Genomic DNA, 27,158 nt, shown 5'->3' on the forward strand with positions numbered 1-27,158 from the left:
GGAGATCTCTGAGGCTCTCTGTACATCCCTCCATACCCTAGAGAGGAACATATGATCCAGGTGCACTGGAGAGAAGGGCAGATCCATAGAGGCCTGGTGGTCTGGGCAAAGAGAAGTAGCTGAGACCAATGAGAAACAATGACCAAGGAGCAGACAGTAAGATCACGTTCCAGGAGACACCAGGATGATGGATGATGATTGCAGACCACACACTCTGTCCCCAGTGTCTGAGCACCACAATAATAGCAGCCAATGCTACTGGACACGAGCCCTCACTGACATTCAGCTGGTACACCAGGTGTTATGGCCGGCGTCCATTTGATCCATTCATTCAACCAACAAATGTTTACTGAGCACATACTATGCACTCTATTGTGTCCAGGCACTATTCTGGACACTTGGAATATGTTAGTGAACAGTGATTTCTGCCCTTCAGGTGCTTAGATTCTAGTGACATATTACACACAATTAATATCATAAACATTACAGTATGTTAGAAGGTGGTAAATGATAGAAATCTTAGTAATAAATAAGTAGAGAATTAATGTGGGCAGGGGGGGATGTGGGCGGCAATACAAAATAGTGTGATCAGTAGCTGTGACTTGTGCTTCTTATTAAATACTTTGATAGTTACCCTGGGCCTGTTCTAGAAATTTACACAGATTCTCTCCACATAAACTTCCCCAGGACACAGGCATAACATTTGGGAAAATCCTGAACCAAGTGGGTCTAAGTTTCCAGCAAACAGAGGACACAGCGGGACTTGATACAGAGATTAGCAACAGCGAACTCCCAGTGCTCACTAAATGCCACAAATGTCAAAGTGCTCTATACTTATTAATTCATTTCAGCCTCACAACAACCCCATGAGGTCAATACTGTTACTGGGCCCATTTTATAGATGAGCCGGAGAGTTAAGAAACCTACCCAAATGACACAGGTACTGCATGGCCCCACCCTATCCCTCAGCACTCACCTCTATACTTTGAAGCTACCTGCTCTCACACCTGCCACTAGGTCTGAGGGCTTATTTTCTGGCTGTGAGAATTCTGAATTTTGCTGGGGAAGCAAATTCAGCCTGTGGCACAGGGCAGGCTGGAAGCACCTGAGGGTTCATGCCTCAGAAGCAGCCCCCACCCAGTGACAAACTGGGAGTCTGCAGGGGGGATAATGCAGGTGAATGTTCACCCAGCCTCCCAAGGCTCCCCAGTGGGCCTGAGCTCCAGCTGCCCTTAGTGGTAGCAGGCTTGATGACGCATCCGTTATTAGCTCCCCTCCCTTCCCATCCCATTCCTTGCAGCTCCCACACTCGGGTTGCCTGGGATGGCCTGCCAAATAACCAGTTTCCACTTGAATCTTTGAATCAGGGTCTGCTCTGGAAGAAGCCAAACCAAGACAGAAGCTGAGTGGTATCTGAACCCAGAGAGTGAGGCTTCCAAGTCTATTATCTTAACAATTATGCAACAATGGTTTTTTTATAGACAGAAAGTATGAAAAAATAAAGTCACGTAAGTGTCTGGGGACTGAAAGGTATACCCACTATTCTTGCAAAACCAAAGACCCTTAATTAACAGCACAGAGGCTATGGTCTAGACCAGGGGTCCCTAACCTTTTTAGCACCAGGGACCAGTTTTGTGGAAGACAATTTTTCCATGGACTGGGGCAGGGAGTGGGGGATGGTTTTGGGATGAAACTGCTCCACCTCAGATCATCAGGCATTAGTTAGATTCTCACAAGGAGCTTGCAACCTAGATCCCTCTCATGCACAGTTCACAGCAGGGTTCATGCTCCTATGAGAATCTAATGTCATCACTGATCTGACAGGAGGCAGAGCTCAGGCGGTAACGCTCGCTCGCCCACCGCTCACCTGCTCTGCAGCCTGGTTCCTAAGAGGCCAGGGACCAGTACCCCTGGGGGAGGCCCCTGGGGTTGGGGACCCCTGACCTCTTTCACACTGGTGACATGGCCTTTCCTCCATGCCCCTGGGTCTCTTTTCCACCCTACCCTCCCAGCCATCTAGGGGGCCAGCCTCCATTTTGTAAGGAGTGTCTGGGCTCCAAAAGCCTGAGAAATGGTGGGGGTCTCACGGATTCCAGGCATGGAAGGAGCGCAGCCTCCCAGGCAGAGGGAGGCCCTCTGCAGCCTGAAATTGAAAGTTTCCTCCAACGTCATCATTGTCTGCTTCTCAGTTCCTGGTGGGATTGTGAGCAGACAATGGGGAACTGGCAGGCCTGGTAATTAGCGGTAATTGTTTATAATATCTGGGCGGCTGCCTGATTTCCTATCCCAGGGAGCCTTGCTAGCTGCCAAGGAACCCGGCTGACGCCCCAGAAACCCTGAATAGGTTATCACGTCCTCCTGGGGGCTGGAGGAAGGAGGAATAAAGTGGTGGCTGGGCCCTACTAGGCCAGAAATCCAACTGCGGGTCTTCCCTGGAGTACACAAGAAGGCAGAGGCCGCAAAATCAAATCTGCCTCTACAACTCACTAGCCAACTGCTTGCTGTGTGACCTCTGACAAGTTGTTATTGTCTCTGCATTTCAATGTTCTTATCTGCAAATGAAATCACACTGCCTCATGGACAGTGTCTGGCCTTTTTGTTGGCCAGTGCCTGTGCTGTCTCAGTTTCAAATGTTTTTCAAAATTTCTGCTTACGGCATCCATGAGCACAGGGGTATAAAAGAGCTTATTGCATTAAGTGCTGCATATGTGCTACAACTTTGACAAGTCCTTGTATGCAACAGGAGCTCAATAGATGTTCACTGCCAAACCCTACAGCAGGACTTACACTGGGAAAATAAAGGATGGAGTGAAGACTGGATTTGGCATAACGCAGACCCTGGATGCCAGTACTGTACAACCTGTGGCAAGTGTCTTAACCTCTCTGAGCTGCAGTTTCCTCATGTAGAAAATGGGAATAAATAGTAATTACCTTGCCGAGTTGTTGGGGAGAGTCAGAGAGCTAGTGTAGGCAAGGTGCTTTAGCACAGAGGACCTGCTGAGTGAATCAAAGGGTGAGATACCATGGCCTGCTGGGCCTGCTGCCTGGCCTGGGAGAGCCTCCTTGCCACATTCTTGGCATTTTCATGGCATTTCAGATTCTAGACCTGTTAGTAAGTACAGCATCTGGATGCCTGAGAATAAGCCCAAGCCATTCTGGGGAGTACTGCAGCAGCGGGTCCCTTCCAGGGACGTGTGCCACTTGGACAGGCGCAAAGCCCTGTAACAGGATTACAACCCATGTTCTGCTGGCCTTTTATTTTGTGTTAATGGTGAAATGAGATTCCCTGCATTTCAAATCCTATTACTTTTGTTTGTGGAGCTGAAACCCATTGGTCTTTTATTATTAACCTCTGAGCTTGGTTTGGCCCCTGGATTTTCTGTGTTCTTGATGGTGAAAGAAGTAACTGGCTCACGCAGGGGTTTGACTCCATTCTCTTTTCCAGATGGATCACTCGTCTCAACAGCATCAGAAATTAAAAGGTTGCACAGCCCTTGTGGTGATTATAGGTTATGTGATTCTCAAAGGTTTAGGAGTTTACGGGTTCCCTGTCCATCCATTCACTACATGCTCACCTATCCATCCATCCATCCATTTATCCATCCATCCATCCACCTATCACTTCATCCATCCATCCATTTATCCATCCATCCATTTATCCATCCATCCATCCATTTATCCATCCATCCATCCATTTATCCATCCATCCATCCATCCATCCACCCATCCATCCGTCCATCCATTTATCCATCCATCCATCCATCCATTTATGCATCCATTTATCCATCCATCCATCCATCCATCCATCCATCCATCCATTTATCCATCCATCCATCCATCCACCCATCCATCCATCCGTCCATCCATTCATCCATCCATCCATCCTCCCACAAACTCACCAAGCCTACAATGCAATCAATTCTGCTGTAACATGAAATATACATTTCTAAAAATTACTGTGCAACGCAAAATCTTGCTATAAAAATCACACAGCTTATGGGAAAATGGGGTCAGTGTCACATCAAAAACAGAAAAAGGCAAGAATGCAGTAAAAATGAAAGCATGGTTTTAAATATGTTAAATGCTTTAGAAATGCACAAATACTACAATAAAAATGGCATTTGACCTTGAAAATGACCTGCAGTTTGCTTGTGGAAGTGGGTGTCGGAAGAGGTGCAGCCTGTGAGTGATTGTGAGGTGGTGAGGGAAAAACTGAAGTCAATGGAAAGTTGTACCACCAGGTGTGGACAGGTGTGGCTTATAATAGTAAACTGAGGGTGCCGTGGATGTCTGAGGCGCATGTGTTTTGTGTATTCTTATGTGGGTGCAGTTTTCTTCATTCACCCAGTGCTCCTCGTGGATGAAATTGCACCTGAACAAATGCAAAATTTATGTTATGCTCAAATTGTTCCCTAATACTTGAATCATGTTGGAACAAATTCTCGTTTTCAAAACAAGTACTGTAGCAGAATTGCCCTGTGCCAGGATATACCATATCATACAATCCTGACCCCGACTTCTCAACCATTCAAGGTATTTCCAAGCCTGACCACCTCTATGAGACTGTGTGTGGCTCATGGGTGCAAAGCCAAGGATTTATTTTTTTATTTGTCAAAAACTCATCTTGAGCCAAGCACTGATAGTACTATTTATCAATGTTGATCCATTTAATCCTCTTAACAACTCTATAAAAGCTAGGTATTTGTAATTAATACCCATTTTATAAAATGGGAAACTGAGGCACAGAATTGTTAAGTAATTGAACCAAAATCACTCTGCTAGGAGTGGCAGACCTAGGACTTGAACCTGGAGAGTCTGGCTCCAGGATTCACCCTCCTAAGCACTGCGTTATACTGTCTCTATTTGCCCTGAGGGGACCTCAGCCTTGCCCAGAGCAAAGCACAGGGATTTGCAGGTCAAAGCTACGGGGTCAGGCAGGCCTGGAACTGAATCCTGACTCCACCACTCACTAGTCGTGGAGGCACATTCTTCACTTCTCAGAGCCTTGGTTTACTCCCCAGGAAAACAGGAATAAAGAACAATAGGATAATCCCAGTGCTGTTGTGAGTATTAAATGAGATAAACGCCTTAGAACAGAGTCTGGCATACTCAAATGCTCAAGAAATACTAGTGCTTATAAAACAAAACAAAACAAAACAAATCCCTGTCTCCTAGCCACAGATGCATCCAGCTCTGCTTTGTCCTTTGGGCACGGGAATGCTGCTAAATAGTAGAGGTGGGGAAGAAAAGGGGGTTCTGACCACCCACCCAGGCTCCTGAGCCTTTGGTGATTAGGAAACAGCCTTGGTAGAACCGTGACCCTGAGCCCGGGTTCAGTGGCCCTGCCACTGCCTTACACTCTGCTTCCCTGGGCTGTGGACACAGTGACCCAGACACTCAGAGACCTGGATGCCGATGACCCAGACATCTCGGGACAACAAAGAACAGAGGGAAGAAGCAGGTGGGTGCTGGGAGCCAGCCTGGAGCGCTTCTGGGTCAACAGAGAGGATGCCAAGGCCCTGGATTCTGTGTGCTGAAGGGGCGGGAAGGAGTGAAATGTATGCATGCTTCTGCTCACACACACCCACCTATTATTCATCAGAATGTGCAGAGCACCAACTGTGGGCCAGCTAGACAGGCATTGAACTCAGTGTCTAGTGGGACAGACAGACACACATGTGACAAGATAGAGAGTGGAGGGCACTGTGGTGGGGGAGGGACAGGGGACTGTGAGAGCTGCTGATACAGCCAGAGGAACGGTAGGCCCTACCCGTTCCATTCCACTTCTGCCCACGCCCAGGACAGACATTGCTAATCAACCTCAGCTCTCCTGCCAAGCCTGGACTTGGCTCCAGAATCCTTCTCAACACAGCACTCCAGGGAACCACTATCAATTACTGGTGTTGGCACATGAGATACAGCCTTTGTGCCAGTTCTCAGCTGAGGTCTGGAGAAGGAATGAGTCAGAGGGTGAAGGGGGAGCAGGGGTAGAGAAGGAAGTGCCAGGTAGAGGGTGCAATGGATGCAAAGACCTGGAGGTGAGAAAAGTGAAGGGTAAAGGTTCAGGGTGGTGGAGTCCCCACATGGATGGGGACTGGGAGAGGCTGGGAAAAGTCAGAAGAATAAGTGCTGGGTGGCAAACTGTGGTGTTCAACCAAAAAGGAGACCTGTAGGTGTCCAGGCAAGAGCGATGTATGGCCTTGACCAGGAGATGGAAGTGGGGAGGAATGGATGGATTCAAGAGATCATTAAGAATAAAATGGCACAGCATGATTATGGATTGGGAATGGATTATGGATTGGAGAGGGGGAACTGTCTGCAAGAACCCCAGATTTCTGGTTTGGGCAGCTGGGGAGATGGTAGCCCTGTGCACCCAGGCAGTGTAGCAGGCTCTGCTGGGCCATCCCCCCACCCCTTATTATGTCAGTGCTTGCTGACTTCTAACCGCCAGAGTCTGCATGCCTTTGCCCAGGCTTCTCTGGCCCCTGAAGAGCTTCTCTAGCCTCAAGAGCCTATGTTACCACAGGAAGAGCCAGAGTTAACAGGGAGCAGCCACTGCTCAGTAACTCGTTAAGAGCTGGAATATAAATACCTCAGCTCCCTCACTTCCTGAGGAGATAACTCCCAGGTGCATGTTTCACATGGGTTCCGAGAGTTCCCCATCAGGATTGGCTCTGGTTGCCCACCAGGAAAGCTGGCTTCTTAAAGCATGCTTTGTTGGGTGCATCACCTCTCTCCCACATGCTCCTCTGCTATTATTTTCTAGAATCACCTCCCAGGTGAATCACTTGCACTTGAACCCATGTCTCAGGTCTGGTTCTGGGAAAACCCAAACTAGAACACACGTCAATAGGGAGTATCTCAGGATTAGGGCAGGTGGGGAGTATGGTATGTCTGGAAGGTTCTGTTCTCACGGCCCCATCTCAGAGGGCTTGAGCTCTAGCTCCTGCCCTTTTCCTGGGTGAGATGGGCCTGGCCTGGTGGCATGGCTGGTTGACTCTGCATCCTTAACCCACAGAGCTCCAATTTCTGATCAGGCAGAAACAGGCTCAAGGAAAGAAAGCCCTTCCCCAGCCCCAGGGGATCAACCACAACTGGCCCAGCATGAGGCCCATGGTGTGGAAAGAGAGAGGGGCTCTGGGTCCTTGATGGCATCCTTGAACTACCAAACCATCCTGGAAGCCTCTACTTCCAAAAAACTTAATAAATGCAACCATTAAAGAGAAAAAGAGTGTAAACATTAAGGGCAGATACCCAATGCCCGGATTTGAATCCCAGCTCAGCCACTGACTGGCTGTGTGACGTGGGGCAACTTATTTACCCTCTCTGAGCTTCCATTTCCTCATCTGTAAAATGGGAATATTAACAGTCCCATTGTCAGGTTGTTGTGACAATTAAATGAGTCAATATAAGTAAAAGCCCAGCACAGTGTCTGCACATAGTAAGTGTTCTCTGCAAGAGTTAGCCACGGCCATTATTACCATTAAGCCAGGGCTTCTCTACCTTAATGTGCATACAAACCAGCTGGGGGTCTCATTAAAATACAGATTCTGATTCAGTGGGTCTGGGGTAGAGGCTGAGATTCTGCATATTTAACAAGCTCCCATGCCAGTGTTTCTGGGCTGTGGATCACACTTCGAATAGCAAGGGCTGAAGCCATTGTCCATTGGTATTACATAACCCGGGACTCAAGGCATCCTCACTGACAGAGCGACCCAACCCACAGGCACCCCTTCCCCATCCCTGACACCTTGCTGGGAACACAACATTTCCCAAGTTTTCTATACCTGTCCTTTGCAGCTCTCCCCACACTGCTAGTTGCTTAGTCAGTGCCCAAGAGTGGAAGCTCATGGAGGACAAGGTATCTGAGGTGCCTGACCCAACTGCCTGGCACATTCTAAGTGCTCAATCACATCTGCTGAAATGAAAATCCTGTGCCTACCTGCAGGAATACATACGCCTGGTGATCCAGCGCAGTCAGACAGACCCAGCGGTGCCAGGGGCTGCAGCCTTGCGGGGGTGCTCAAGTGGGGCTGGCTCCCTGTAAGCCTCAGCTGGGCTGGCAGAAGCCCAAGGGGTGGGGAGAAGGGAGAACAGTCCCTTCCTGTTTCAGAGCCCGGCATTTGGGCCAAACCAGTGCCCAAAATGCCTACAGAACAAGAAGTCTGACCACAGCTCAATGTCCCCACCCATTCCTTCTGTGTCCCTACCTCGCCCAGGTGTTGGGCAGGTGGCAGCGCCTCGCCTGGCTGGGATCCACCAACACTCAGCTCTTTTCAGGAGGCCAAGACTGTCCCCTGCTGCTGGACCCGTCACCCTCCAACCCACCTGATACCTCCTCAGTTGGGCTCAGAACACCCACCTCAAGCCTTTTAGTAATCGTAATCCTCACAGCCAACACTTACTCAGTGCTTACTCTGTGCTAAGCACTTTATAGACACAACTGTATTTGGGGTGGCTCACTATATCCGTTAGAATGCAACTGACCAAAACAGCAAAATAGCCAACAAACAGTGGCTTAATGAACAACAAACAATAATAGCTAACAATTACAGAGCTGGTCACTGTGCTAAGTTCTTTTACATGTATTAACATATTGAACCCTCACAACTCTGTAAGTGTCTGCACTGTTATGTCCCCTTTCTATAGATGAAGAAACTGGGCTCAGAGAGGTGAAGTAACTTCCCCAAAGCCACACAGCTACTAAGAAGCTGAAATGAACCACATACCAGGGCAGTCTCGTTTTTGAGTCCTGGCTTTGAACCTGTCTGTAATTAGACTCTCTGGTCCCTTAAAACCCATTACAGCAAACAGTAACAAGAGCCATGTTCCAAACACCTATCACCTGCAGGCATCACCTCGTTTCTTCCTCATAACACACTCTGATAATGCTCCCCTTGGTCATGTGGCCTTTCTGAGCCTTCATCTCCTCTTCTATAAAACGGAAATGCAGGTTTGACTTCTCTGCTGCTGCTCACTGAAGCACGTTGCCCTTCCCACAATCTAGTCCTCCAGACCTGCCCGTGAGGCTGACAGATATTTACTGGCCTCAAACATGAGAGAGGTCCACTGATGTGCTCAAGCCCACCCAGGGGCATGAGTGGCAGAGCCAGGATTAGGACCTGAGCTTCCTGACTCCCTGAGACTCACACCTGTCAGCAGGGCCCCACTGCTCCCCAGATGCTGAGAATATCTTCCTCCAAGTTCTGCTGCCTTGCCATGTTTCTCAGGTTAAAGAAAACACTGGCTCCCTTCCTCCTCCTCCTCCTCCTCTCCCTTCCGCTGTCCTCCTCCTGTTCTCGCCCACGGGAAAGTCTCGCTAGGAGGTGGGTGGAACAGCAGCATCTGCTAAGGCAAGGCCATTCACGAGGCTGAAGATGCCCAGTTTAGGAGGGGCTGGGGGTGGGGAAGGCTTTTAGCCAGCAGAAGCCCCCAGCTGAGGGGCAGGGCCAGAATGAAGGGAAGCAAAAGTGGAGGCCAAGCCCCAGCCCCACCTCTCAGTGGCTGTGTGTCTGTCCTTGCACAAGTCACTTAGCCAGTACTGTTCAAACGAATTTTCTATGATGATGGAAATGTTCTATTTTCTGCACCACCCAATATGGTTGTCGCTAGCCACAAGTTGCTAGCGAGCACTTGAAATATGGCTAGTGCAATAGAAGAACAGAAAGTTTCATCTTATTTAATTAGCCACATGCTTCTAGTGGCTACTTTTCTGGACAGTTGTGGAATTTAACTTTTCTAAGCCTCAGTCTTCCCATGTGCACAAGAATCATGATATCCCACCCCACTTCCCTGACTTTAGACGATAGCTAGGACCATGAAGCGATGCAGTGCTGGGAAATAACCCCTGGCTGGGAGTCAAGACTCCTGGGTTCCAGACCTGGTAACACACTTCATGATGCAGAGTGAGCTCTTTAACCTCTCTGAGTGCCCTGGTCATCTGTATGATAAGGAAGTTGCTTTGGATCAAAGTTTCTTTGATCTAGGGATCCATGGATGGTTTTAGGGGACTCTGATAACCCCTACAGTTATGAGAAAAGCATGTTCGCAGGACTGTGTGTGGGAGAATGAGGGTGTACATGCACTGAGGGCTGTGTGTATTGGGGGAAACTGGGCCCAATGCTTTCCTGAAATTCTTAAAGGGGTCTGTGAAAATGAGAAACCCCTAGTCTAGGTGAGTTGCTCTAGGGTAAAAGCTTTTTAACAGTGGAGTTCTCAGGCCACACTCCCAGAGACTAAGTCAGCAGCCTGGATGTGGGGTCCTGCAAGCTGCACTGGTAACGTGTTCCCGTGATTCTGACGCGGAGCCCACAGAGGGAAACGCTGGCAAGGAGCCAGCCACACTACTGTCTAGTGAGCTGATGCTCAAGAAATGCCTTTATAAAGCAGTAGTATACATTTTTCAAAACCAACGGGATTTAGGAAACTAAAAAAGTAAAGAGGAAATAATGATGATAATAAAACCCCTTTCTACCCCTCCTTTATTTCTTAAGCAGCACTAATATACAGCACTTAGTGCCAAACACTGCTTTATGCTGTGTATAAATATCACCCCTGCATTATATGGATTGTAAACGTCTAATCCTCATAACACCCCTATGAAGCTGATGCTGTTAATCCCATTTTACAGATGAGGAAACTGTGGCTTAGAGACCTTGCCCAAGGTCACACAGCAGGAAGGGGGTGGAGCCAGGATTCAAATCCAAGCAGCGGGGCTCGCTCTCCCTCGGGGCTTTGCTGTTACACTGCCTCCCTTCTGAAGATGGGGGATGAACCTGGAGCCCTGAGCTGGCGCTTTCACAGCCTGGAGCTGCCCTAGGGCTCCCAGAGGGGTTGCTCAGTCCCTCCCGTGCCCCACCACAAAAGACTGCAAGAACCAGGAGGGCTGGTGGCCCCACACTTACTTGCCCTCTGAGCCATAGCTGTTCATGCTGTCCTCAATGGACTCGTGGCTGGCCTGGCGCAGTGTCCGGCTGGGCATCTCCACTGCCAGGCCCGTCTCCGTGCTCCTCTGGATGGCCCCCTTCAGCCTCCGGCTGTCCCCTTCTGGGCAAAGCGGCCAAGAGAGATGGGAAGAGAGACACAGGTGGGAGGGGGACAGAGAGAAGAGTCATCTGGTTAGCAGTGTTTCAGCAGCTGGGGGCTGTCCAGCTTCAGCCTCCACCCTCAGCCCATCAACCTCCTCAGACTCCTGGCCTCACCAGTAACCACTCCACCAACAAACAGTATTGCATGAGTTCTGTTAAACGATAGATTCATTTACATGTGCTTTTTCTCCCCCTTGAATTCATTTCTCCCCTGAAATCTTCTCCAAATCATTTCTCTTCCTCCTCTTCAGCTACTATTTATTGAGCACCTACTATGTGTCCTACTGTGTCAAGTGCTTTGCATGGATTTTGACCAGGGTTTCTTGACCTCAGCAGACTGGCTGTGTGGATGGCATATTGCTTTGCAGTAGGGGCTGCCCTGGGCATCACAGAATGTCTAACAGTATCCCTGGCCTTTGCCCACTAGATACTAATAGCAACCCTCACCCCACCCCGCTGCAGTCCAGTTGCAGCAATAAAAAATATCTCCAGACATTGCCAAATAGCCCCTAGGCAGCAAAAATCACCCTTGATTGAGGACTACTCGCACTGAAACCAGATGGCATGGGTTCAAATCCTGGATATCTATCTCAGTGGCTGGGAGACTTAAGGCAAATTACTCAGCCTCTGTGTGCCTCTATTTGCACAACTGTCAAGTGGGAGAATAACAGGCTCTTATGAGGCTAAATGGCCCCCATCAGCCGCCCACTCCTTCCATTCTGTGGTCAAACATCATCTTATCCAAGATCTTTCTTGACCTCTCCTGGCCCCTCCAAAACAGCAGCCTTCTCCCACCCCCTGCCCCTCTCTGCCCTGACTCCTGCTTTGGTTTTCCTCCTAACACTTACCACCCAAATGCGTTAAACAATATTGGTGTTTTGGCCAGCTTCCTCTGCGAAGACCATAAACTCCATGAGGACAGGGAATTTTGTTCACTCTTGAAGCCTCAGCACCAAGAACAGGGTCTAGACCATTGTAGAGCTCAACTAATAACTGTGGCTGCCTTGAGAGCAGCCTTAATCCTCACAACCAACCGTAAGGTGGATGCTGCTGTTCACCCCCATCCAGTACCCAAAACAGGAGGCACGGAGAGGTCAGGACTTGTCCACGCCCATAGAGCTAGTAAGGTGGGGAGCCAGGACACAGCCCCGGGAGGGTGTCTGCTCCCTGCTCCATGGCCTAGTGATTCAAGGGACTGTAGGCTTGCTAGAGGTGGGGTAGATCATTAGTGGGATCTTTTTCATGGTCCCACAAAGTCCAGACATGGGCTGATTCCCAAGAGGATCCTTCAATGCTTGCTGATTGACCCACTGGGGAAAAGCAGCCCCAATCACACCCAGTCATCCTCCTCCTGCCAGAGGACAAGAGAGCTGGGCCTGCGTACAGGAGCAGGGCAAGCCAGGACAGCTCCCGCCGGCCTTCTCCTGGCCTCCCTCCTCCTCCCAGCTCCAGGATGGTCTCTCCTTCCTCCCTGCCTCTAAGAATCACACACACGTGTACACACACACATGCATGCGTAGATACAAACACTCTGTTTCTCAGAACGTGTAGCCTCGTATTTCTGTCTCCCACGTGTCTTTGTTATTCAGACACACAGACACCCACACTCAGAAAAACACAGCAACACACACACACAGTAAGATGCATGCAAAGACAGTGTGTTAATGCAGGTCTGAGTGTGCTCCCAGGGGTCTCCACATGCCTGTCGCTCTGTGTGTTTGAGGCTAAGTGGGTAGGTGTATACACATCTTCCCTGCGTGTTTCTGAACACGTGGGAGAGCGTGTGTGCCCCTATATCTGTGTTTCTACTCCATTCCATCATCTGTTCTTTCCCTAGCTTGCATCTGCAGCCTCCCCCGACCCTCTATCTCCACTGTTTCTGTTATTTCTCTGTGTACAGCAGGTACAGTGACACAGAGAAAGAAAGAACCACTCACATGCACATTCAGAAACAGACTCAGACAGAGATGTCCCTGTACACACACACACACAGCACTGTACATATGTCCCTGTCAGACGTGCAGGAACAAACACCCCCCCCACACCCCACACTAGGGATACAGACCCATGACTGGGCACCCTGCAGGCAGGCAGCACACACCTGCCTCGGCTCCCTCCCTCTCTGCTGAGCGCTGTTCAGGTGCCCCCACCCCGGATCCATCTCCACCTACCTGGGTCTGACACATTTCTCCCGGAAGAGGGAGGAGCAGAGCATGACAAACAACTCAGTCCCCCAGAGCTGTGCCTTGCATCTGTGTGGCATCCTACAGCCCTCAAAGCAGTTCCCAACCAGGCCCTAGGATCTGCCTCCCAGCAGCCCTGGCTCCCCACACAGGTGAGCATGCCTTTGCAGTCAGAAGGCCCAGGTATGGAGACCCGGGGCAAGCTGGACGGCATCTTCCCACGGAGCTGTTGAGAGGCTTAAATGACAGACGTTTCCCATAGTGCGGGCACAAAGTAGGTGCCAAACATAAAAAGCCAAACCACTGCAGAGGGAGAAAGACCTTCCAATGCCCCCACACCTGCCCTTGCCAACTGTCTTGCTGACACCCTTGTAGACTCATTTTTTTCCCTTGACACACCACCTTCCCCAAGCTAGGGACCACGACTGGACCCAACCACAGCAATGTCCACCATCCAACCTCTACCACCTACCCCTCCTGTGCATCCTCTCTTGCTAACTGGGCCATGGCCCCCAAAGTGACTGTTCCAGTGCTTTCCCAACTACCCCCACCAAGATCCATCCATCCCACGTGGCTGAGATGTGTTCCCTTTGTTCTGCTCTTCCTCACTTCCAAATGTCACTGTGATTGTTAATAGCGAGTGTCAACTCGATTGGATTGAAGGATGCAAAGTATCATTCCTGGGTGTCTCTGTGAGGGTGTTGCCAAAGGAGATTAACATTTGAGTCAGTGGACTGGGAAAGGCAGACCCACCCTCAATCTGGGTGGCATCATCTAATCGGCTGCCAGCATGGCCAGAATAAAAGCAAGCAGAATGTGGAAAGACTAGACTGGCTTAGCCTCCCAGCGTGCATCTTCCTCCCATGCTGGATGCTTCCTGCTCTCAAACACTGGGCTCCAAGTTCTTCAGCTTTGGGACTCAGACTGGCTTCCTTGCTCCTCAGCTTGCAGACTGCCTATTGTGGGACCTTGCCTTGTAATCGTGTGAATCAACACTCCTTAATAAACTCTCCTTTATATATACATCTATCCTATTAGTTCTGTCCTTCCAGAGAACCCTGACTAATAGTCACCATCCTGACCTTTCACCCTGCCTGGCCCTCCCCTCCTTTCTGAAAGGAAGGGGCCGTCCTTCTCCTGGCTGTGGCTGATCCATCTCCATCACTCACCATGACCTCCTCCCCCATTTGTCCTCTCTGGGCCTTGCGTCTGCTGCCTCTCCATCCTCGGGCCCTTTCTAGTTCTCCCACCTCTTTCACCAACTAACTTCCTCGGAGAACAGCCTCTGGCCACCAAGTCACCCACCACACCCTCTCTGATCTCTCAGTGTGGCTCCAGCCCATCGATCCATCAGGGCGGCTTACTAAACCATTCTCTAGTGACTGCTCACCACCAGGTCTCAACCCAGCTCCCGGGCCCTGAAGCATGGCCCTTTCATTCTCTCAACAGACATCTATTGAACACCCTTTTGTGAGGTGGAAGCCCCTGAGATGTTAAACACGCTTCTAAGTGCTGCACCTGCTGATAAAACACACTGACGGGAGCCAGGGAGAAATGAACAGCCTCTGCTTGTCGTCCATCAGGACCCAGAAATAGACCCTCACTTGACCCACTGTAGTGAACAATGTGATCCTCCTCCAAGACCCCCTTTTTACCACTTCTGTGAGCCCCTCCCCACTGTAGCATGCTATGTGCTGTGGCTTCCCACAGCCAGTACCTGGCACCTTTTTCTGGGGTGGGGTGTGGGGGTGTCTTTCTTTGGGCTACTGAGCCCATGTTGCCCCCACACAGGCAGAGCTAGAAGTGTCTGGAAATGTATGACCCTTAACCTGCCCTTGCCCTGCCCCTTCATCAAAGACTAAATGAAATGGGAGGATGAACCCTCACCTCCTCTGCCCTGGGTCAGAACAACTCTGAGGCTTCACGCAGCCCCCAGAGTAACCCCACAGCGGGGCTGGGGCCACCCTTTCGGGACCTGCCTGAGAGCACACCATTGCGTGTCTCCTGCCCTGTCTTGTTCTGCTTCCCTGGGTCTGTTCTGGGGGCACTTCCTTCATTACTGCCTCCACACGAATCTCATCTCAGGGTCTGGTTTGGGGACACCTGACCTAAGACAGGCTGGCACCCTAAGCAAGTAAAAGTTCAAAAATCTTCACACAGGTGGGCTCCCGCATCATAACTGTAGTTGTACCCATTTACACCCAACCAGCACATTGGGAAGGAAATTTATTTCTCTTTTGTATGCTTCTATGTCATTTGAATTTTAATTAATTCTATAATGCAAATGAAAGTAAATACAAACAAATTCATAAATAAATCACAGCTTCAGTCATGCCACCATCTTATTTAAAACCTTAGCCAGGCGTGGTGGCTCATGCCCGTAATCCCAGCACTTTGAAAGACCCAGGCAGGTGGATCACTTGAGCCCAGGAGTTTCAGACCAGCCTGGGCAACATAGCGAAACCCCACCTCTACAAAGAAAAAATACAAAAATTAGCCGGGCATGGTGGTGGGCACCTGTAGTCTCAGCTACTAGAGAGGCTGAGGTAGGAGGATCGCTTGAGCTTGGGAGGTTGAGGCTGGTTGCACTCCAGCCTGGGTAACAGAGTAAAATCCTATCTCAAAACAAAAACAAAAACAAAAACAAAAACCTCAGAATGTTTCTTCACTGCCTGCTGAATTAGGTTCAGTTTTTGCACCCAGGCATCCAAGACTCTCCATTTTCTGACTCCCTCCCCATCAGCTACTGCTCTCCCTCGCAGTCTCTATATCCTAGCCCAGCCAGACACCTCAGTGCTCCATCCTGAGAAATACTGTACATCCTCAATAACTTCCTCATCCTGGTTCTCACTCCTCTCCTTTCCTCCTTATCAAATTTCTAACCATCCTCCAGAGTTTAGCTTTAAATAACACCTATAACTTATCAGGCACTCTGTACTTCAGTTTCTTCATCATATAATAGGGATAAAAGCACCAGAATCTCAGGGCTATGTGAGCACTAAATGTTAACAAGCAAGCAACGTAAAAATGTAATAACATATAACCCTCAGGATGGCCTAGGTGGGCTGGGACACACGGTCAGCCCTCAACAAAGTTGACTATTATTAATATGGTTATTACCATTGTGCTAGATGCCATGCCAAGCGTTTTACAAAGGTATCTCCCACTTAATTCTCACAATAAACCATGAGATAGCTACTGCCCCCCTTTACAGAGAAAGAAAATGAGGATCGAGAAGGTTAAGTAACTTTCCCAAGGACATGCACGACTACTAATGGTGGAGCTGGACTTCAAACCCAGGCTATTCTGGCTCCAAAGCCATGTTTTAAATGCACCCTAAAGTAAACTCTCCAAGCTCCATCCCAGAACTCAAATGCCATGTCTTCCACAAAGACGTCCCTCATCAGACTCCTTGAGTCCCGGGGCACTTCAATCTTCACTTCTCTTGGGGTAACTATTCCATGGCACCTTGAAACACAGTTCTCATCCACCTAGTCGATGTCAGTGTTTACAGCGTGAGCTCATTCGTCATTTACTTCCATTCAGCACCAGGGATAGCGCCCACACTGCCCATCCCCACTGAAAGTGTGTTAAATTGAATTGGCTTTAGGATGTGTCCCCAAGAAAAATGGAAATTCTCTCTGGTAAAGAAAACAAGTAGATGTCACTCTGCTGTTTATACTTGAATATGAATGTGTTTAATGTACGTTCTCCCAAAAGCAAGTATTCATAAGGAACAGGATAATAAAACGATGATAAATTATGAAAACAGATTCTATTGTTTTTAGCATTTACCCTGTACCATGTACAAATTATATACACATATATAATTTAACCCCACCATAACACTGAAAGACAAGTATTATTATCCTAATTTTACAATAAGGAAACAGGCTCAGAGCAGTTCAGCAACTTGTCCAAGGTTATACCAGATAAGACAGAGCTAGGCTTGAAACCAGGTCTGTGTGAAAACAGATCATCATATACTCTTAACCACGAGACCTCAGGGATGTGTTGGGGGGAGGGAGAAGGAGAGAACTCAACCAGTCCCCACTTTGACATTTTATTGAAGATGGGCATTATCAGCTTTGACTTCCAGATGAAAAGCCTCAAGCCAAGAGAGGCTCCATGACCTGTTCCAGGTCCCCAGGCTCTAAAACCACTAACCACATCCTGGTCAGTGTGAGTGTCCACTCCAAGTCCATAGAGAAGCCTGTGAAGTTCCCCCAGACACAAGAGCTCTGGGTGACTGGGTTATTTTAAACCAGGATGCGAAAGGCACCAAGGCCCCTGGCTCACTGCTTCCCCTTCCCACAGCCACTACTCTTCCTGTATCTCTGAGATAAATACCCTGGAGACTGCTGCCTCTTCTTCCTCCATGGTCAGCCTCTCCCTGGCCTAGTTATTCCCAGTGACTTGGGCCTCACATGCCTCCCTTGTCCAGGTCTTGAAGTCCATCTGAAAATCAAGGGCTGAGAGCCATCTGCAGATACTCAGGCCTCCAGAGCACTGATGTTGCCTCTGGCTGTGTCTCCAAGGATGGGTGGAGGAAGCACAACCCTGATTACTTCTGTGAGGGCCCTAACCTTTCCCTTCTCCCTGGAGCTATAGGAATCTGCCCTACCTTAAAATAAGAGATGGTTTCATCTGGAGGGAACTTAGGGATCATCCAGATCAATGCCTTTATTGTACAGAGGGCAACTGAAGCCCAAAGAGGGGCAGGAGTTAAAGGCCATGTTGGTATTAGAATTCAGGCTGGGTACAGTGGCTCATGGCTGTAATCCCAACACTTTGGGAGGCCAAGATGGGAGGACTGCTTGAGCCCAGGAGTTCAAGACCAGCCTGGGCAACATAGTGAGACCCTGCCTCTATAAAAAATTTGAAAATTACTAGCCCACACTGTAGTCCCAGCTACTCAGGAGGCTGTGGTGGGAGGATTGCTGGAGCCCAGGAGTTTGAGGCTGCAGTGAGCTATGATCACATTGCTGCACTACAGCCTGGGTGACAGAGAACCTGTTTCAGGAAAAATAAATTCTGGTCTCCTAATTGCTAACCTCCCTGCTCCTTTTCAGTCAACAGCCTTTCACTATTTCTAGAGCATCTTCAGGAGGCAGCATGGCCTAATGGTTAAAAGCATGGACAATGGAGCCTGAATGCCTGGGTTGTAAACCTGGCCCCAGTCACTCTATTAGTTGTGTGATTTTGAGAAAGTTACTCAACCTCTCTGTGGCTCAGTTTCCTCCTCTATGCTAACTGGTGTCCACACCACCAGAGTGTCCTCTTCTGCCAGTTTCTTCTCTACTCAGTGGCCTGCCTGAGCTTCCCAAATCTCAATCCTGAACACACCATCCCTTTGATTAAAACCCTTCAATGGCACCCCATTGCTTGCAGAATAAATTCCAATCTAACACACACTGTCTTTCTGACCTGGTCCCAATTTACATTTCCATTTCCCTAGTGTTCTCTACATTCTATTCACAATGAATTATTCCAAATCTTCCATGTGACCAGCTGCCCCTCAAATTTCTTACCCATCATCCTGCATACAAAAGTCTTAGCATTCTCTTATCTTCTGGAGAAAGGTGCTTTTTAAGACAACTGTTTGTTGCAGGATAATATACATAAAGAAAACTGTACAATTATATATCGCACAGTTGTAAGTGTATACCTTGATGACTATTACAAAGTTCTACGGAACCAGCACCCAGATCAAGAAGCAGAACATTACCAGTGCCCTACAGAAGGCCCACATGCCACTTCCAGTTACTTTCCACCAAAAGTAGCATTACCCTAACTTCTAACAGCACAGACTGGTTTTGCTTATTTTGTAGTTTTCACTACATAAAATCACCTAGTGTATATTCTTTAGCATCTGGCTTCTTTTACCCAACACGACGTTTGTGGGGTTCATCCATGTTGATTGTTTCATTGCAGTTCATTCATTCTCATGACTTATTGTAGTACATTGTGTGAATATATCAAAATAATTTTCATCTATTCTATTGCTGATGAGCATCTGGGTGGGTAGCCTCCAGTAATGAGATATTACAAATAGCTCTGCCAAAAACATTCTTGTATGTGTCTTTTGGTGACCATTTCTGTGCAGTTCTTCAGGGCACATACCTAGGAGTGCAGCTGCTGGGTTACAGGGTATGCATTTGAAATGCCTTTTAGGTGGATTAACCACGGTGTGAACTGGAAAGGTTAACACGTTAGACTATCATTCAGCAGGAAGCAATGTTCTGAAGAAGTGAGGCTAAAGATTGGAAGATTTTGAGGAAAAAGATGGTGGAAAGCCTGTTGATTTACTGTATATCTGGCTCACATTTATATTCCCCAAATGTAATCTTTGTTAAGAGAATGTGTATACAGGGCAAACAGCACCCAGAACAGGACAGGAAGGAGGGGAAAAGGCCTGTAATACAGTTGACATTCAATAAATACTGGCTATTACTATTAACCTCTCTAAAGGTCAATGGTCAACTGCTCACTGATACCACCTCTAGTAAACTCATTATTTCATCGATTCTAAGACAAGCATTTTTTCAACATCTCCAAAATTAAGATGTGAATGGCAACCAGTGGCATGTCAGAGTTAAATTCTGACATGTTTTAGCTCCCTTGGTGGTATATAAAGTTGTGACTTGCAACTGAAGGCCTCTAAAATGCGATTAAGTCCACAGCAAAGAACTGGCGTGTGCAGGAACTGTCCGTGGTGCTGACTGAGCACAGAGGACTGGGCCTGCCTAGGGCAGAGGTGGGGCTCACAAGGGAGATTTTAGAACTACGAAGCATCCCTATCTGTGGTTGTTTTCAAACCACAATTCCTTCCCACTGGCTTGCTGGTGCCTGAAATTCCACCCTCAAAGAATCATCTTCCCACATAAAGACAGGAATTTCCATTTATCGAGTTGAACCAGAGCCTATGAGAGGTGCTCAGCACTCATCATTTCATGTAATCTTCACAACCACCAGTGAAGGTAAGTATTGTCTTCATTTTCAGAAGGGAAAGCTGAAGCTCAGGGGTTAATGAACCTGCCCATAATTACAAAGCTGGCATGTGGGATGTGATCCTGGTTCAACGCAGGCCAGAGTGCAATTTTTGCCCTTTACGCTGCTCTACACTGGAGGGAGGGATAAGTGCCTCAGACCTTTTTCCAAGAGGATTTGAAGAGGAAAGAGGAGAGATCATAAAGACACAGAGATGAAGTGAGTGAAAGCAAGAGGGGCAAAAGGCACATGATAAGGATTTGAGAACCCTAGAGAGGGAGGGGAAAGATTTTGTGAGAATCAACTGGGTAATAAATATGGAATGTGCTTTGTAACTCTAAAGGGTTATGCCCCTGGAAGGAAACGTTACTCTCACTTATCCAACAAAATATACATTTATTGAGTTCATTTCCTATGCCATGCTGTTCTTGTCTCTGGGGATTTGAATAAGATACAGTCTTTGACCTTAAGAAACTTACAGGTAGTAGAGTGTGGGGGGGACATGAAACAGATAAGTAATTATTATTCATTCAACACACTCTTTACTAATTGCCTATTCAGGGCCAGATCCTGTGCGGTAGACTCATAACATAGATGAATTAAACCCAGACCTTGCTGAAACTCCCAGTCTACCAGAATAGATAGGCAAGTAAAGGGGCAATTGTGCAATAATTACAACGTAGCATAATGTAAGGGCAGAGATATACACAGAGTATTATGGGAGCTGAGGAGAAGGGTAATTAATGCAGCACTGGAGTTAGAGGCACGGTCTGGGTTGTAAGCAGAATTGATTCAATGCTGAATTATACTTGATTGCAAATAAAATCAGAAGATTTCATTGTACATGCAAGCACTACCTTCCAGTACAACTGAAGGTTATACTGACAAATAAAAACATGGAGATAGAGTGAAGAGGAAAATGTGGAACCAAATGAAAACTGAAGGCAAAAAGTTCCAGATGCAGAGTAAATGCATTTGGGGTTGGGGAGGTCCTATGCTGAGCAGGGGTGGTCAGGGGAAAGTCATTTACTCTCCTCGAGCCAATGTGGAAAGACTTTCTAAAGAAGAGGCATTTCCACAATCATTGGAAGGAAGACAATTCACAGTCCCACAAAAAGCTGTTTTTCCTCAGGAAGCTATTTCCATCAGCATTTGGGACAAGCTAAACAAGCCTTGGAAGGAACTGGGTTGTGGGCAAAAGGTAGAGTCTATGGCCCCATATGGCACTGGGAAGCTACACAATCCACACAGCATTCAAGACTTCCAGGATTTGCCCCAAACCTATACTACAAGTCTGCCATGATGCACATACCAGGTGTTCTATCCACACGGAATTACTCATCATTCACCAAATACAGCCCACGTACTTCCGTCTTCTTAGGAGAACAGGCTCTGGAGCCAGAAAAACTGAGTTTGGGACTTGAAGCATGCCTCTGCCACTTTCTGAGTAAACTAAATAAACTTACTGAACTAATCTGAGTCTAAGTTCCCCTGCAAAACAGGAAAAATGATAGAATCCACTCCACCTATTGTTGTAAGGATTAAATGTACTAGTAAGCTCTTATTAGGTTATGCTGCAATAACAAGTTACCCCCAAATTTCAGTGGCTTACAGAACAAAGTTCTTGTTCATACTTAACATACCTTATTTTTCTGAGATGGACTTTTGCTCTGTGGCCTATACTGGAGTGCAGTGGCACAACCTTGGCTCACTGCAACCCGTCTCCCAGGTTCAAGTGATTCTCCTGCCTTAGCCTCCCAAGTAGCTGGGGTTACATGCATGCACCACCATGCCTGGCTAATTTTTTTTTTCCTTTTTGTATTTTTAGTAGAGATGGGGTTTCACCATGTTGGCCAGTTTGGTCTCAAACTCCTAACCTCAAATGATCTGCCTGCCTCAGCCTCCCAAAAGTGCTGGGATTACAGGCATGAACCACCATGCCCAGCCATACTTAACATACTTTACGAGTTAGCTATGGTTCTATCCCACGAACTCATCTGGGACCCAGGGTGAAGGGGCAGGCCCTATCTGGGACAAGCTGGTCTCATGGCAGAGGAATGATGGAACCATGAGGGAATTCTTCCAGCTGCTGCACTTTTCTCTATGTGTATTTCAAAACTTTTAAAAGAAAAGGAAGGGAAAGAAATATGGCCTCTAACAGACAGATGCTGCCAAACATGTAGGGGAGGCAAGGAAGCTCCCTCCTCTCCACAAACACTGGAAAGAGAACTCCTCAAGACACCAAATGGTTTGTTCCAACAAGGTAGCATATTAGCCCATGATAGCACAGATCCATGTTAACTGTGAAATAGATCTCTCATACCCCTTGTGGGACTGAACTCAATGACATAACATGTGCACAACGACTGTCACAGTAAGATACAGGCACTCAGTAAATTGCAGCTACTATTATAAACAATACTCTGAGATAGAGAGTAGTGTCCCTGATTCTCAGAAACTCTCAGAAAACTGAGGCTCTGAGAACTGAAGCAGTTTGCCCAAGGTCCCACAGCAAGTAAAGGTTGGAGAGGAAGAATGCAAAACAAATCCGCTCCATTCAAACAAAGCTGCACACAAATGTTCACAGTAGCATTAACTGTAACAGTCAAAAAGTGGACACAGCCTGAATGGCCATCCATGGACGAATGAACAAACTGTGGTATATCCATGCAATTAAGTATTATTCAGCCATAAAAAGCATGCAGTACTGGGCCGGGCATGGTGGCTCACGCCTATAATCCCAGCACTTTGGGAGGCCAAGGTGGGTGGATCACCTGAGGTCGGGAGTTTGAGATCACCCTGACCAATATGGTGAAACACTGTCTCTACTAAAAATACAAAAATTAGCTGGGCTGTGGTGGTGTGTGTCTGTAATCCTAGCTACTCAGGAGGCTGAGGCAGGAGAATCACTTGAACCCAGGAGGCTGAGGTTGCAGTGAGCTGAGATGGCACCACTGCACTCCAGCCTGGTTGACAGGGAGACCCTGTCTCAAAAAAAACAAAAACAAAAACAAAAAAAAAACAACAAAGCATTACCTATACATGCTTCAACATATATGAACCTTGACATTATGCAAGTGAAAGAAGCTGGTCATAAAAGATCATCTCTTCTATGACTCTACGTATTTGAAATGTCCAAGATAGGTAAATCCATAGAACTAGAAAGCAGACTAGTGGTTGCCAAGGACCAGAGGGAGGGGCAAATGGGATGTGAATGCTCACGGGTATAGGGTTGACGATAATATTCTACAATTGACTGTGGTGATGGTTGCACAACTCTGTGAATAAATTAAATATTAAAACCCACTGAATTGTTCACTTTAAACTAGTAAACTGTATGGTATATGAATTATATCTCAATAAAGCTTATATAAATCTCCTTCCACTTCATCTCATCTCCCAGGCCAGGCTGTTAACCCTATTCTACACTGACCCCAAGAGGGTCAAGGAGCCCACAGGCAGGGAGGCTCCCCCTAAGCCAGAAGCAGTGTGGAAAACCTGCTGCAAAGGCCAGACAAGGCCAACTTGTACAGTCTGTCCCCTCGGATGTCATCTTCAGATAACACATGTGCACATGTATCCCCACAAAGGCCCACGGATGAAAACGTGCAGTGGGTACATGGGAAGCAGAGATGTAGGGGATGGGGTGGGGTTGGAAATGAGGGAATTCCTTCCTTCCAGTCCCACCAGGGCAAGCCTCAGGCTCCCCATCACCACCTTCCTCAATCAACAGATGGCCAGCTTCCTCCAGAGCCTCCAAGACTAGAGCTAGCAAGGCTTAGTTAAGACCACCTGAAACCACCTGGCACCAGCACTCACCAGAGCAAACCCACCTTGGACTAGCTGTTCTCAGCACTGAGGCTGTAGTGATGTTGGCCTTAGGCAGCACATCCCCTGTTGCTCCAGCTTGGCTCATCCACGTCCCAAAACTGCTTAAAATCCGTCTCTCTCCAGACTGTTCTGCAGGATAGCAGCTAACCCAGTGTCCACTAAGGCTTCTCAAGAACCTCCCACATACATGCTTAACGCACGCTGGGTCTCCTACTCCTTGGATGAGCAGCGCTATCCTTTATCTTGAAGCAGTTTAAACAAATCTCTTCCTTGATTTGGCCTTAGCAGAGTTGCAGAGAAGCTGGGCCCCACCTTGGCTAAGGCACCTCCCTTGGTTGCTTTTCTCTCTCTCAAATGAGGGCAGGGACACTGGCTGGCACTCAGCAGGTCCTCCACACAGACACCAAAGGCTGAAGGAATTCCAGCTCATGGCTTCTCAACTTTAATGTGCAAATGGATCACACAGGAATCTTGTTAAAATGCAGATTCTAATTCAGCAGGTCTCAGGTGGGGCCTGAGATTCAGCACTTCTCACAACTCCTAGGTGAGGTCAATGCTGCTGGTCTGTGGCCCACACATTGAGTAGCAAGATTCTAGCCCATTCCATTCACTCTTTTCTGATTTCTCTGCCTTCTTCATTGTTCAAGGAGCCTCTTGGGAGTGGATAAAAGCTACTCTCTCTTAGAAAAGGACCTGCCAGCACATACACACAGTATGTTGCATAAAGTTTGGGAGCCTGCAATCCCTGGATTAAAAGCCATTCTTCTTCTTTTTTTTTTTTTTTCTTTTATAAGAGATAGGCTGTCACCCAGGCTGGAGTGCAGTGGCACAATCACAGCTCACTGCAGCCTTGACTTCCCAGGCTCAAGTGATCCTCCCATCTCAGCCGGTACTACACACCACCAAGCCTGGATAATTACTTTATTTTTTGTAGAGACAGGGTCTCGCCATGTTGCCCAAGCTGGTCTCCAACTCCTGGGCTCAAGGGATCCTCCTGCCTTGGCCTTCCAAAGAGCTTGGATTACAAGCATGAACTACCTACCATGCCTAGCCTAAAAGCCATTCTTTCGCATACACAAACCTGCAAATCTTAGTTCCTGCAGAAAAGAGGATGCAACAGGGGATAGAAAAAGAAAAAGCCTTGGCAGGGAGTGAGAACTCCTGGGTCTTGTCCCAGCTCCACTACTGACTTCCGGTGTGACATCAGACAACTTTCTGCTCCTCTCTTGAGCTTCAGTTTTCCCACCATGAGAGAAGTGGACTAGATTGGGGATGATACATAGGTTTTCTTTTTTTTTTTTTTTTTTGCCAACTCTGGTAGCTGTTGCCTGAAATACCCTGTGCTAAGAATTCTTAGACTGTGCCTGGACTTGGCAGAAAAGGATGCCATGATTGATTGGTGATGCCTGCCATGGTCCCAGGAAAGGGGGCCTTGATTGATTGGTGTTGTCTGCCAAGATCCCAGGCCTGGAGGGTGATGGGCTTCCTGCCAGATGTCCGCCTACCCCAGAGAGCCCTTCCAGCTGTGACATTCCACACAGCTCATTCAGAGTCATGCCACACTGGGCAAAGAGAAGTCTGTGCCTGTCCTCAAGGGGGCAGGAAGGGATAATTCTTTAAGCTTCTGGCTTCTCAAACCTGCTGCCCTACAGCCCCCTTTGAGAAGAGGTAGCAGAATCCCTGCTCAGTGGCAGAGGACAGCATGTCCTTGTGCTCCCATCCTTCCCTATTTTTAACTCCAAGGACAGCAGCTCAGGCAGAAGCTGAAATATGGAAGGGCCACCCAGCCTCTGAGGGAGGGGAACCACACCCCCACCATCATTCCCAAACTGCTCCATGGTTGGCCAAGTGAGAGTCGAGGCAAGGGACAGAAGGTTCCTCACCTCCCGTGTGAATCTCTCACAGCCCCATCCCATCCTTCCCCAGGCAGGGCCAGTCACCCCTCCTTGGTACACCCACAGACCTCTCTGCTAGTCCCTATCCTGCTGCACCCTGTATTTGTTCATTCATGCACCCCATTTACATATATGTGCCAGCCTTCATACTAGTGCCGAGGACGCAGCATTGAACAAGACAGATGGGGGTCCTCACCCACTGAGCTCTTCTAGTCTAGGGTGGAAGACAGACAGCAAACAGGATGGCAGCATAATTCTGTAGTTACAACTATAGTCTAAGTGCTTAGAAGAGAACTGTACCATGGTCACCCCATGTGCCTGTACACTCCTCAAGAACTGGAATTCTCTCACTCATCTTTCTATCCCTGGAACCTAAGGCCTAAGCTGGCAGAAAGGAGGGTTCAGAGATTATTTGTTGATTGAAAATATTACACAAGAGACATCATGTGAAGTTTGAGAGCCCTACAGGAGCCTGTCTCAGACTAGATGAGATTCATTCATTCATTCACTCATTCACTCACAAAGTATTTTTTTTGAGCACTTTCTACATGTCCAACACGGTTCTAGGCACTGGACCTAGAGCAGGAAACAAGACAAGGAAAAACGAACTGTCCTCCTGAATCTCCATGCTAGGAGAGGCAAGCAAACATCAAGCCAGACAAATACAGAAAGATAGAGAGGATGCTAGAAGGCAATAAGGGCAGGGATAGGAGTTTCTCTCTGAAACAGAGTGATCAGAGAAAGCATTCCCAACACAGGGAACAGAAACGTAAAGGCCCGTGGCAGACATGTCTGGTATGTTCGAAGGAGACGAGAGTGGCTGGAGCAGACAGAGCAAGGGGGAGTGGTGTGAGATGAGGTTTGAGATGATGGGGCAGGAGGAGAGGGCAGACTGAAAAACTGACACACCTCACACCAAGCTGGCATACAATTGATGGAAGAGATGGTGGCGATGATGATAATGACAATGACGATGTGATGATAAAAGCAGCTAGCATTCATTGGGCACGGGTGACAGGTGCTATGCTACTCAATTAACATGGATTTGTTTATCTAATCCCCACAACAATCTGTGAAATATGTCTTATATTATACCCATTTTATAGATAGGGAAGCTGAGGTTCAACAAAATTTACGCAGCCTGGAGGTGGCAGGGCTGGGACGGGAACACC

General features: G+C 47.9%; 1 protein-coding gene across 2 annotated transcripts in view, besides 2 other annotated features; it reads right to left on the reverse strand.

Moving 5' to 3' along the window:
• The window catches only part of RIMS4 (regulating synaptic membrane exocytosis 4), a 58,739-nt gene that overhangs the window by 8,563 nt on the left and 23,018 nt on the right, over nt 1–27,158 (reverse strand). Inside the window, exon 2 of one of the 2 annotated variants that reach the window (NM_182970.4) lies at nt 10,905–11,043. In NM_182970.4, the coding sequence (NP_892015.1) occupies nt 10,905–11,043 (139 nt within the window). Of the gene's footprint in view, nt 1–10,904; nt 11,047–27,158 lie in introns of both variants that reach the window. The other variant, NM_001205317.2, reaches the window with a different exon arrangement.
• Nucleotides 12,266–12,766: an enhancer, noted in NCBI's record as "H3K27ac hESC enhancer chr20:43401277-43401777 (GRCh37/hg19 assembly coordinates)". NCBI's record gives its function as "activates a minimal SCP1, AML or CMV promoter by ChIP-STARR-seq in primed H9 embryonic stem cells {active_cell/tissue: H9 hESC(primed)}" and the evidence as "EXISTENCE:reporter gene assay evidence [ECO:0000049][PMID:30033119]".
• Nucleotides 16,710–16,847: a silencer, noted in NCBI's record as "fragment chr20:43405721-43405858 (GRCh37/hg19 assembly coordinates)". NCBI's record gives its function as "represses an EF-1alpha promoter that drives an FKBP-Casp9 reporter gene in an ReSE screen in phorbol 12-myristate 13-acetate-treated (for megakaryocytic differentiation) K562 erythroleukemia cells {active_cell/tissue: K562(+PMA)}" and the evidence as "EXISTENCE:reporter gene assay evidence [ECO:0000049][PMID:32094911]".

The sequence above is a fragment of the Homo sapiens genome, chromosome 20, assembly GCF_000001405.40.
Source record: "Homo sapiens chromosome 20, GRCh38.p14 Primary Assembly".
NCBI lineage: Eukaryota > Metazoa > Chordata > Mammalia > Primates > Hominidae > Homo > Homo sapiens.